The following is a 12534-nucleotide window of genomic DNA, read 5'->3' as shown; positions in this document are numbered from 1 at the left end:
AGGGGGGCCTTGGGTGCCATGAAGGATGATTTAAAACCATGCAAAGACCGGGAAGGGTGTTTGCAGGGAGGTGGCCCCCCACACCAAGAGCCTGGAACATGGAAAGGAGGAGTGGCTTGGGGGATGGACTATTTCGCAGAGGCAGAGGACAGAAGCAAAGCCTAGGCAGGGTTCTATCAACACAGCCTGGCTCCTTCCTCTGGAAACAGCCCCTCAGGGTCTCCCTGGAGAAACACTCTTCCCGTTCCCAGGGCTTGACCCTGGGGTTTAGTGGGGCTGACTCTGCCCCTCCTGCTTAAAGGGCGATCATATGAGCCAGGCCTGGCCATCTAGAACATTCCATTTCATTGGACTGGTTCGAAGGAAAAACAAGATGTCCATGAGGCCGGAGAGATGCAGTCCCAAAGCTTCTGGGGAACTCCACGAATAAAGTCGACCTGGAGCTGGCAGAGACCACCACGTGGAGAAGGCAGAGCTGGAAGGTGGGGCTGGGCCCATCTTGAGCACACAGTTAGCACCCTAGGATCTAACTATGTCTCAGGATGTCCTAGAAATTAAATTATAAGAGCCAAGAAATCCCTCCTCCACCTCTCTGTTTCTCTGTAGCCATTGTGAGTTGGATAAGAAAACCAGGAGGGACCTTGAATGCTATGCTGAGGAATTCAGACTTTAGGGCATCAAACCAGTGGGGTGCTGATAAATGTAACCTCCGGCACTCTGGGGAGGAGGCAGATCTATAGCATTTGCCAATTTCCATCATGTAAATATTCCCACCGTGGCCAGTTCCAAGCTACCAACATGCCCTTGCTCACCATGGTCAGGGAGGGACTGCACAGACGGCTCTGGGGAGTCAATGAGAGCCAGCTCCAGCCATCATGGGCTCATGCTACGGACCCAGAGTTTCTTGCTAGAGTGTTTGCTGAAGTTCACTTTGGTCTGTTAGCACAGACTAGACTGAAGGGCAGAGGCCCTGCTCTACCCACCATGATCTGGGTAAGAACCAGGCAAGGGGCAGCCACAGAACAGAAACTGGCTGGTGCCTGCAGAGGAGGGTTGGTCATATCAGTGACCAAGAGGCCTCCTTCCTTGGCTCTGCCCATCCAGAGTCGGCCTTGATCCTGGCTCAAGGGCAGGGTGTCCTTCTGGATGAGGCAGCAGCTCTGCATGACCAGTGCCCACAGTCACCCTGCTGAAATCAGGCCTTGGTCTCTCTGGCCTCACCCAGTCCCCTGTTGGGCCATGCTAAGGAGTGGATACAGGGCAGCCCCACTGCCTGTGGGCACTGATCGGGGCCTGGCTGGAGGCTTCTGTGCACTGTGCCCATGCCGGCCAGCTGCCCACTCTGATCGGCCCACAGTGCTGACATATCCCTGCCCAGACACACCCCCAACCTCCCACACTACTTCCCATCCAGGCCCAGCAGGCACTGCTCATTTCATTTTGATTTTTTTGAGCTCAAATCCTGCTCTGCATCAGAGAGAGCTGAACAAAATGAGCTGTTCAACGTAGACATGGAGCATATGGCAGGCCATGTTTGAATGTTGCTGCTGGTGGCATCCCTGAAGCAGACAGCACCACGTGCCCAGCCCAGCCAGCAGCTGAGCCCCCAGGTTGAAGCTGGGCCGTTTTGACCCTGTGGGAAGGCTGCCCATTTGAAAACTAAAATAAAAAAGATGAGAGAGTTTGGCTTGAGGTTCTGCCAAGGCAATTATCTAGGCACAGTCTTTACATCAATGAATGCGGCTTTTCCTTGCATGAGGGAGTGACTGAGGCAGTTTTGAAAGCAGAGTCATACTAGATGAACCCAGAGGTGGATGCTCAGTGGGGATGTAATGAAGGCCTTGTCAGGAAACTACACAGTTCCCCCTTTTCCATGGTGGTACAGGGTGGTGAAGAATGAACAGTAAGAACATTAGACCCGTGAAAGCAGGCACCTCATTAGCCTTGTTGGTCATGGAATACCTAGAATCTAGCAAGGATGGATGGATGGATGGATGGATGGATGGATGGATGGAAGGAAAGACGGATGAATGACTGGAAGAATAGATGAAATGATAGATGGGCTAACAAGTAGGAAGATGGACAGGAGGATGAATGGACGGTTGTGTGGGTGGATAATGGAAAGATGGATGAATGGATGGATGTGTGGGTGGATGATGGACAGATGGATGAATGGATGGATGTGTGGGTGGATGATGGACAGATGGATGAATGGATGGATGACTGGATGAATAGATGGAGAGATCAGTGAACTAACAGGTGAGAGGATAGATGGACGGACGGACGGATGGATGGATGGACAGACCAGTGGGAGGAATGGAAGATGGATGGAAGGACAAATGTGTGGGTGGATGACTGACAGATGGATGAATGGATGGATAGATGGACCAGTGAGAGGAATGGAAGATGATGGATGGATGAATGGATGGATGACTGGATAAACAGATGGACAGGTCAATGGACTAACAAGTGAGAGGATGGATGGATGGATGGATGGATGGACCAGTGGGAGGAATGGAAGATGGAGGGATGTGTAGATGGATGATTGACAGATGGATGAATGGATGGATAGATGGACCAGTGAGAGGAATGGAAGATGATGGATGGATGAATGGATGGATGACTGGATAAACAGATGGACAGGTCAATGGACTAACAAGTGAGAGGATGGATGGATGGATGGATGGATGGATGGACCAGTGGGAGGAATGGAAGATGGATGGATGTGTAGATGGATGATTGACAGATGGATGAATGGATGGATAGATTGGCCAGTGAGAGGAATGGAAGATGATGGACAGATGGAAGAATGGAGAGACTAACGGGAGGAATGAACAGGTGAACAGAAGGATGGATGTGTGAGTGGATGGATGGATTCGTGTGTGAGTGGATGAATGGATGGGTGGGCAGATGGGTAGATGGATGGATGGATAGATGAACACAAGTTACTCTTCTTTTCCCTAATAACATATAGGAAAGGCATTCAGATGTCACCAGGCTTCTCCATACATCTAGCCTGTCCCATCTCAGTGTAAGAGCCAATTCTCATGGGATCAAGCAGCCTGTTGTCAGGATTCAGACTGGTTGGTTCAGATCCCCGCTCTGCACTGAGCTGCACTGTACACCCTGTGGCAGGCCACTTCACTTTTCTGAGTTATCTAGTTCTCCTCTGGGAGAAGTGGTGAAGTTGCACTGACTAGGAGGCCTGGGCAAGGATGGAATAAGATGGTGATCAATCTCTTAACACAAAGCCTGGGCTGCTATAAGCCCCCCAACCGTTAATTATGATGATGAGCTTCTGAAGCATTGAATATTCTTAGCTACCTATTGTCATATTTCTTTGGTAGCTTTGATTGATTCTCTTTAAAAATGTCCAAATTGGGAATATTAGAAAATAAATGGCATTCCAGGGCCGCAGGAAAGTGCAGTGTAGAAGAAAAGTTGCCGGTATCTCTGTAGACTGATTTCTGCGACCAACCTGTGTCACACGCAGCGGCTCTGCCTGCTTAGGACATGCATCGGGGTCCTTACTGCCTCTTTGAAATGATTCTGAAATGCACACAGTGCGATACCTCTCAGGGCGGTGGCGACGGTGAGTCCCGACTGCCCAGGCGGCCCCGGGTGTGATGAGCATGCAGCCCTTCCCAGTGGCTCCAGGGAATCCTTGTGTTGGATGCTTAATTTTCAATTTGCATCTTTAAAAAGGTAACATTTGATCCAGATGAGTTGGTCTGTTCTTGAAATATTTATCTGAAAAGAACACATTTTATTGCCTTATGGGGAGGGAGGGAACCCCTTTTGATGCTGAGTCTGAAGTTATTTAAAGAGTGTTCCAGGGATGTAGTGAAGTTCTCTCTGAGTCCCAGCTGCTTTGAGGTTTATTTGATGGCTCTGATGCTGGCACTACGTGGGGGAGGGTTCAAGGTCAGGAGCACTGCTCCCCATGGTGAGGCGCCCAGCCACTCTGCCGAGCCATGTGAGAGCTGTCCCCACCACGTGATGGAGTGGCCGGTGCAGCCTTGGCATCTGTGCCAGCCCAAGCTGGGTCTTTGAAGACAGAAACATCTTGAAAATGCCCAGGGTGCTTTGCCTTTGACAAACCTGCCCAGCAGTTTTCTAAACTGCACAGTTTCCGGAACCTTAAACGCCACATTGAAAAGCAGAGAAGCCTGTGCAGAGTCAGTGTCTCCAAAAGCCCACAACTGTGTGTGTAGGACCCAGTCCCAGTGGGCCCGTGACCCCGTGGCCATCTGGCTGGGATCCTGGAGACCACTGAGGGCCTGGGGTACTGAGGATCGCAAAGAACTTCCCTTCCATAAACATCTGTAAAAGCCCCACTCACTATGCTGTCATGGGCCCCATATAAAAAATAAGCTGCTTCACTCTCCATCATGTGATTCCATGGTGTTGTATGCAAAATGAAATGGAACCAGGAAGGGGCTCTAAAACACAGGTGGTGGCAGCTGGCTGCTCCACGCCTCACCTCCACGCACCCCACACTGTCTCCATGACGCTCACTAACACAGGGCCTGGTTATTGCTTTGTTCACCCTCTGAGCACAGGGGCACTACACACAGGCAATGCAACATCTGGAGGAGGGTAGCTTTACCCTTCTCTTCTGTTTTAGATTTGTGCCCAAGTGTAACAAACACACAGTGATGTGCACTGAGTCTACGGTTACGGTCTGGTCAACTTTTACTCATGCATGTGCCTGTGTCCAAGTCTGAGGTCCAGATCTAGAGCATGGCCAGCCCCCAGAACACTCCCCTCATCCATTCCCAGGCAACACCACCCCCCAAGTTAAACCGCATCACCATCTGTTCCTGGGGCAGGAAGACAATGGCTCCCCTGAGATGCCCACGCCCTAACCTCCAGAGCTTTTACAGACTTTGCAGGTATGATGAAGTTAAGGAGTTCGAGATGCAGAGATGATCCTGGGTTGCCTGGGTGAGCATGAAGTGTAATCTCAGGGACCCTTATAAGAGAGAGGCAGGGGACAGTCCTAGTGAGAGGACACTTGACGATGGAGAGGTCGGAGTGGGGCAAGGCAGCTCCTAAAAGCTGAAAAGATGAGGAAACAGACTTCCCCCTGTAACCTGCAGGAAAAGCAGGACCTGCTGCTGCATTTTAGACAGGTGGCTTTCAGTAAGAGAATTCTCTTCTGTTGCTTAAGCCACTGAGATTGTCGTCCTCTGTTATGGCAGCAATAGGGAGCTAAGACAATTAGCGTTGCCTGTTCCTGGACTTCATGGAAACAGCATCACACAGTGTGTCTCCCCTTGTGCCTGGCTTCCTTCGCTCCATGTAATGTAATGACATGACAGTCACTGATGTCACTGTGCACAGTGCATTACTCATCACCGTGCTGTGTTCCATCCTGTGACTGCACCACGGTCCTCTCATCTGTCCCTCTAGGTATGCACACTTGGGCAGCGTCCAGTATGGGGCTACTAGAATACAGCTTATCTGCACATTCCTTCACATGTTTTATCAGGACAGACTCATTCATTTCTCTGGGGAAAATACCCAGTTGAGTATAATTTCTGGAGCAATTTCATAGGGAAGTTTGTGTGTCACTTTACTTATAAGACCCTGCCGAAGTCTTTTCTAAAGTGGTTGTAGCCATTTAGGCCTTTCTGAGCCACGTATTCACCCACAATGATTTGTCTGAACAAATCCCAGAGTTGCAAGTGCTTGGAATCGGTGGAGAGCGAGTCAGCCACACCTGTCCCCAGGGTTCGGTGACAACAGGTGAAGGTGGCATCAACCGCTAGATGCCAGGTGCTGAGAAGCTCAAGGAAGAGACAGAACCCGGGGTGGCAGGCACGGCTTCTCTAAGGACCTGACATTTCAGTCGATGTCAACATAATGAGAAAGAACCCAGCCACATACGGAACCAATGGGAAACTGTTCTAGAAGCAGCAGTTGGGTTTGGCAGCTAACTGTTGCAGGAGGCTTTGTGTTGGCTCTCTTGAGTCTTCACAGGGACCTCACAGCAACCTTGCAAGTGGTACATCTTTGCTTGGTGGGGACAGTAGAGACATCTGTCTTATTTGACGCTGTATCCAGGCAGAGCAGATGGTGGTCCGGGCAGAGCAGATGGTGGTCCAGGCAGAGCAGATGGTGGTCCGGGCAGAGCAGATGGTGGTCCAAGAAGAGCAGATGGTGGTCCAGGCAGAGCAGACGGAGGTCCAGGCAGAGCAGATGGCAGATGGTGGTCCAGGCAGAGCAGATGGTGGTCCGGGCAGAGCAGATGGTGGTCCGGGCAGAGCAGATGGCAGATGGTGGTCCAGGCAGAGAAGATGGTGGTCCGGGCAGAGCAGATGGTGGTCTGGGCAGAGCACACGGTGGTCTGGGCAGAGCAGATGGTGGTCCAGGCAGAGCAGATGGTGGTCCGGGCAGAGCAGATGGCAGATGGTGGTCCAGGCAGAGCAGATGGCAGATGGTGGTCCAGGGAGAGCAGATGGTGGTCCGGGCAGAGCAGATGGTGGTCCAGGCAGAACAGATGGCAGATGGTGGTCCAGGCAGAGCAGATGGTGGTCTGGGCAGAGCAGATGGTGGTCCAGGCAGAGCAGATGGCAGATGGTGGTCCGGGCAGAGAAGATGGTGGTCCAGGCAGAGCAGATGGTGGTCCAGGCAGAGCAGATGGCAGATGGTGGTCCAGGCAGAGCAGATGGCAGATGGTGGTCCAGGGAGAGCAGATGGTGGTCCGGGCAGAGCAGATGGTGGTCTGGGCAGAGCAGACAGTGGTCCGGGCAGAGCAGATGGCAGATGGTGGTCCAGGCAGAGCAGATGGTGGTCCGGGCAGAGCAGATGGTGGTCCAGGCAGAGCAGATGCTGGTCCGGGCAGAGCAGATGGTGGTCCGGGTAGAGCAGATGGTGGTCCGGGTAGAGCAGATGGTGGTCCGGGTAGAGCAGATGGTGGTCTGGGGTGAAACCAGGTATTGGTGTACCAGACGGGCATTACCTGGGCTTTCGGGATCCTGAAAAATCCCGACAGAGATTGTAACCTTGCAAGCCAAGTGCGAGGTCTTTGCTCCCAATAAAGACGTGGAAGATTTTGATCCACACCAAGGGGCTGGGTTTATGGGACAAGTGACAGTTATGATCTATAGAGGAACTCACGTGATTAAGTTCATCAATTATAGAAATTATAGGCCGGGCGCGGTGGCTCACGCCTGTAATCCCAGCACTTTGAGAGGCCGAGGCGGATGGATCATGAGGTCAGGAGATCGAGACCATCTTGGCTAACACGGTGAAACCCCGTCTCTACTAAAAATACAAAAAATTAGCTGGGCGTGATGGCGGGCGCCTGTAGTCCCAGCTACTCGGGAGAATGGCGTGAACCAGGGAGGCGGAGCTTGCAGTGAGCTGAAATTGCGCCACTGCACTCCAGCCTGGGTGACAGAGTGAGACTCTGTCTCAAAAAAAAAAAAAATTATAGATACATAGATATAGCTATAATATATATAGCCAGACCTAGTCTAAATATTTACTATAAAAAAGACCTAAAACAGGAGTTGAGACCCTTGGGTTCTATTTCTACTTCAGCCTCAGATTTCATTTTCCCCTCTGTGGCAGACATGAGAATATCAACTCGTCTAATAGTAAGAACACCAGGGATTGGGGCTGCGGTGACAGCGCGTCGTTGTACCACACTGACTCTGGGAGCAGTTTCTTTGGTTTTTATCTTTACTTTACAGGACGGGAGAGGCTCACAGCCCCTAAAATCATAAAGGGCCGCACTGTAAAACATCAGCACCATGGTGATGAGTGATTTCCAGAACGTTTGATAAAGGATATATGTCTACTAGCGTGATCAGTATGGAAGTGGCACACTAGTTCACAGGAGGGGGATTACGGAATCACTGCCCGAGAACGGCGCGTGGGAGAAAAAGATGACCATGGCTTCTGCTGAGGGACACAGATACGCAGCGCATCCCGGGGAGGGAGGCAGGGTCGAAAGGAGGGGATGGAGGACCTCTCCACATCCACTCCCTGGGACCCCGAAACAAAATCAGCCTCAAAGACTCATTTAGATTCACTTATTGATAACCCCAGTAGAAATAAGGGAGCTTTTTCTTTTTGAGACTGAATCTTACTCTGTACTCAGGCTGGAGTGCGGGGGCGCGATCTCAGCTCACTGCAACCTCCGCCTCCCAGGTTCAAGCGGTTCTCCTGCCTCAGCCTCGTGAATAGCTGGGACTACAGGCACGTGCCACCATGCCCAGCTAATTTTTTGTATTTTTAGTAGAGACGGGGTTTCACCGTGTTAGCCAGGATGTTCTTGATCTCCTGACCTTATGATTCACCTGCCTCAGCCTCCTAAAGTGCTGGGATTACAGGCGTGAGCCACCACGCCCAGCCTGAGCTTTTTCTTAATAATGTTCTCCCTAGGAAAAAAAGAAAAAAAAAAAAAGCCTAAATATTCTCACACAAGTCCCTGAAGCCTCGGGATGTTTCACATTTTCCTTAAGAAGCAGCTCAGATTAATGGGAAATTTGGCCTTAAGAAAACAGAATGCAATTTTCTCCCAAATCCCCTGCCCACGTTGTCTCTGTGCCTCAATGCAAGTGGCGTCGGGAATAATCAGGCCTCCTCTTGCAGATCGTCATAACCACAATTAAGTCTCGAAGCCTCGGGCCGGAGCCAGGTGCACTGGGTGCGTTTAATGCCACCGGATATTTCAGAAAAGGCAAGAAGCGTGAAATTTATTTGATGCCTTGACACAAAAGCACTCTACCATTGTGGAGGAGGGTGAAAGGTGTGAAAATTAAACAAATTAACCCAACTTTCCAGAGAAGCAGCATTGTTTAAGATTTCAGCAGCTGTCCTCATCATGGTTTTTGGAAATTAAAACAATCAGGAACAAGCAGAGGAAGGGGGCGGGGGCTGCAGAAGCATCTTGTCCTTAGCAAGGAGAAGAAATGTGCCCTGGGACAGGTGGTGGTGGGAGTCCTGGCCCAGGACCCCTGTACCCGCCTGGCTGTAGCAGCTCAGCTGCACCAGCTCAGCTGCACCTGCCCAGTGTCTCCTTGCCCAGTGCCCAGCTCCTGGGAGTCCAAGCTGTACTTTCTGATCAACGGCATGTGAAAAGACATGGTCCTTTCATTAGGACTTAACTGAGGTTGTCAGTTACCTAATTACTTCAATAAAATATAATTAATTAAGAATAACATGTGGAGATATTTACATGAGCTGGAGATCACACACTGCAATTTGCAGACTTTTTCCTGAAACACAGCGTCCTGCCAGACATTTTCTCCCTGTATGTAGACAAAGGGGACAAGCTATTCCATGTTAAAGATGTTGATTTCCCCTCTCAGTTTGGGTTTTGGGATAAAGACAATTTAAGTCTACTATCTGTGCCAAAAAAAATTGTCCCGTGCGAAATCAGGAATACACACGGAGTTCCTGAGGGGAAGTACAGACCCAAGAACACAAGAGGTGAGCACAGCCCTGCATGAGCACACGGCCTTCTGGAGAATAATGCCGCATGCCTGAGGTCCAGGCAGAAACAAAGTCAGGGAAAAAGTCCCGTCCTAGTCTCTTAATCCAGCCTGCATGTTTTCCACGATGATTTGATTTGAGTTATGGCACCGACACCAGGGAGACAGGGCCCACAAAGTGGCCACTCTCCAGAACATCCGGATCTCTAGAGAGGGGACCGTAGACCTCAGGGTATGAGGACCACCCAAGAGAAGCAAAGCAACAACTGGGACTCAGTACCACCGCTGCCCCCAAACTCAGCAGCTCCAGAAAAAATAAGTTACTCAGTATGAAGGACTGCAGGTTCAACTGCACACAAGGAAACACCCTCAAACCCACAGGGCTGTATTTGCTCCTGTAAGTGAAGCCCAAAATCTGGCAATGCAGGAGGATGATAGTAGCAAAGAGGATGGCAAAGATCAAGACCCGCCTCCTGCTCTTCTGCTGTGTACATGTGTAGCTTGCCTCTTCAAGATCCCCTCATGGTCCAAGGTGGCTGCTGGACCTCCAGCTATCACAGCTGTGTTCCATGCAGGAAAAAGGAGAAAGGGAGAATGGGGGCAGGAGAGACCCCTGCAAAATTTGCAAAATTAACTTTCTGGAAGTCCCACAAAATGTTTCCACTTAATCACAGTGGTCAGCACTTAGTGACAGGGTGATGCTTCGCTGTAAGGGAGCCTGGGAAATCAGCCTTTTTGTTGGGTGGATTATTGTCCTATGTAAATTTGTGGATCTGTAAATAAGGAAGAAAGGAAAAATGGATTTTCTCCAATGAACTCCATCCTAGTGACAAAAGGACAAGTGGCTTAACCATTCTGTTTCTTCATCTATAAACTGGCCTAACACCTGTTTCAGATAAGATGCTATGTAGATAGTCAGCCCTCCATATCCATGGGTTCCATATCCATGGATTCAACCGACTGCTGATTGAAAATATGTTTTAAAAACTGCATCTGGGCCAGGCACAGTGGCTCATGCCTGTAATCCCAGCCCTTTGGGAGGCTGAGGTGGGCAGATCACCTGAGGTCAAGAGTTTGAGACCGGCCTGGCCAACATGATGAAACCCCATCTCTACTAAAAATCAAAAATTAGCAGGGCATGGTGGTGTGCACCTGTAGTCCCAGCTACTTGGGAAACTGAGGTATGAGAATTGCTTGAACCCGGGAGGAGGCTGCAGTGAGCCAAAATTGTACCACTGCACTCCAGCCTGGGTGACAGAGTGAGACTCTGCCTCAAAACAAACAAACAAACAAAACTGCATCTGTACTGAACATGTACAGACTTTTCTTGTCAATATTTCATAAACAATACAGTATAACAACTATTTACATAGCATTTACATTGCATTTGGTATTATAAGTAACCTAGAGGTGATTTAAAGTACATGGGAGGATGTGCATAGGTAACACACAAATACTGCATCATTTTACATCAAGGACTTGAGCATCCTTGGATTTTGGTATCCTGGGGAAGTCCTGGAGCCAGTCCTCCACAGATACTGAGAGATGGCTGTATATGCTTTAAGACAGCGGCTCTGTGCAAATATCCATTATTATAAAAATCCATTCTGTGCTGTGTAGCTAGGTGACTGGGACAAATGTTACCCAGGGATGTTTCCAGCCTCCACAAACAACATCTGAGCAACCACTGCTGGCCTCCGTGATACACCTGTGAACAAGATGGTTATAGAAGTCCATCATTAAATGCATGTGCAGCTGGTCAGTTCTTCCTAGCAGCTTTTGTCACAGGTGACTGTGGCCTCTGTCCCCTGGGCTCCCTTCTCCTTCTTTCATGGGCCTCCGTTCCAGCAGATGACTGCAGGGCTGACCCTTCACTTACACTGGGGCCTCAGCTGTGGGTCCGTAACCCAGGCCTAGTCATTGTATTTACTCCCTGGCCAAAGAATCTACAGATGTGTAGAATTCTGTCCTAAACCAGACCAGACAGAGTGACATTCCTATCACAGTTATGAGAAGAGGCTGGCAGTCTAAGAGGTCATGATATGTCACAGTGCCCACCATATGAAGAAACTGTGTTCAAGAGATCGGACATTTGAAAACCTGGATCCAGCCACACCTGAAGCCAGGCTGTCCTTGCGCTTCAGGTTATGTGAAGAAGCCCATGCCCCTCTTGGCTGCACGAGCACGAGTTACGTTTCTCTCATTTCAAACAAAAAAGATGCCACACAACATTCATGACAGCCCCATGGTAGGGTGGGGTGCAATCGTGAGATTCTGACCCTGTTCTTTTTGTCTGACAAAAAAATGGCATGGATGATTTCTGCATAGTTCAACGCACAACAGGGACTGAAGCCTGCAATGTACCAGGCACAGAACCAAAAGATACAGATCCTTCCTTCTCAAAGACCCATGGGCTACTTATTGGTGGAGCAGGTTTACAATTGCATTTTTGAAATTTGGAGTGAAAAGTACAGGTTGCATGGGAAGAGGCTTCAGGTTTATCTGGGTGACAGTGGGTAGGCCCTGCCTCCTAAAGGTTGTCACTTCAGAGTCTGCCAAGGACAGTACGTCTGCCCAGTGATGAGCATGAGGCTGGAGAGGCCTGCATGGCCCAGAAACAGGGTCTAGGGACCGTGCTAGGAGCTCTGGACTTGTCTGGAGGGCCAGGTGTGAAATGGGTGGAAGATGACAGGGTTGCATCTGCATGCTGGCGACTGTGAAAGAAGATCTGAAGAAAGCAGAATACAGAGAAAGAATGACTACAGTGGCAAAGGGACGTCAACTTAGAAAGTAGTTAGGAGCTCACAAGGTGCAGATGAAAGGATGAGGCTCTGGAAGGGGGCAGGGCCGGTGGAAATAGAAAGGCCAGAACAACAAGGAGGTGATGGTACCAGCGGAGGTGGGGCCAGGCCGGCCCCGAAGCCCTCTGGTGCTGCAGCCAGGAGCCCTTGTTGTCCCACCAAGGGACCCAGAGAAGCTTCTCGCATCCCCACCCCCAAGGCCAGGACTGCTCCCAGGGGGCTCATCCCACAGCAGTGACTAAGGAGCCTATGTGTTCCCGATGGTGCAGAGATGAGACGGTGGA

General features: G+C 50.2%; 1 protein-coding gene across 3 annotated transcripts in view, besides 2 other annotated features; it reads right to left on the bottom strand.

The window, feature by feature from the left end:
• Window positions 1–12534, bottom strand: part of CDH4 (cadherin 4) — a 688357-nt gene that overhangs the window by 527482 nt on the left and 148341 nt on the right. The window lies entirely within an intron of this gene.
• Window positions 5949–6449: an enhancer, noted in NCBI's record as "H3K4me1 hESC enhancer chr20:59981743-59982243 (GRCh37/hg19 assembly coordinates)". NCBI's record gives its function as "activates a minimal SCP1, AML or CMV promoter by ChIP-STARR-seq in primed H9 embryonic stem cells {active_cell/tissue: H9 hESC(primed)}" and the evidence as "EXISTENCE:reporter gene assay evidence [ECO:0000049][PMID:30033119]".
• Window positions 6450–6950: an enhancer, noted in NCBI's record as "H3K4me1 hESC enhancer chr20:59981242-59981742 (GRCh37/hg19 assembly coordinates)". NCBI's record gives its function as "activates a minimal SCP1, AML or CMV promoter by ChIP-STARR-seq in naive H9 embryonic stem cells {active_cell/tissue: H9 hESC(naive)}" and the evidence as "EXISTENCE:reporter gene assay evidence [ECO:0000049][PMID:30033119]".

The sequence above is a fragment of the Homo sapiens genome, chromosome 20 (assembly GCF_000001405.40).
Source record: "Homo sapiens chromosome 20, GRCh38.p14 Primary Assembly".
Taxonomy (NCBI): domain Eukaryota; kingdom Metazoa; phylum Chordata; class Mammalia; order Primates; family Hominidae; genus Homo; species Homo sapiens.
Note: the sequence above shows the minus strand (reverse complement) of the source record. Positions and strands in the feature narration are given on the sequence as shown.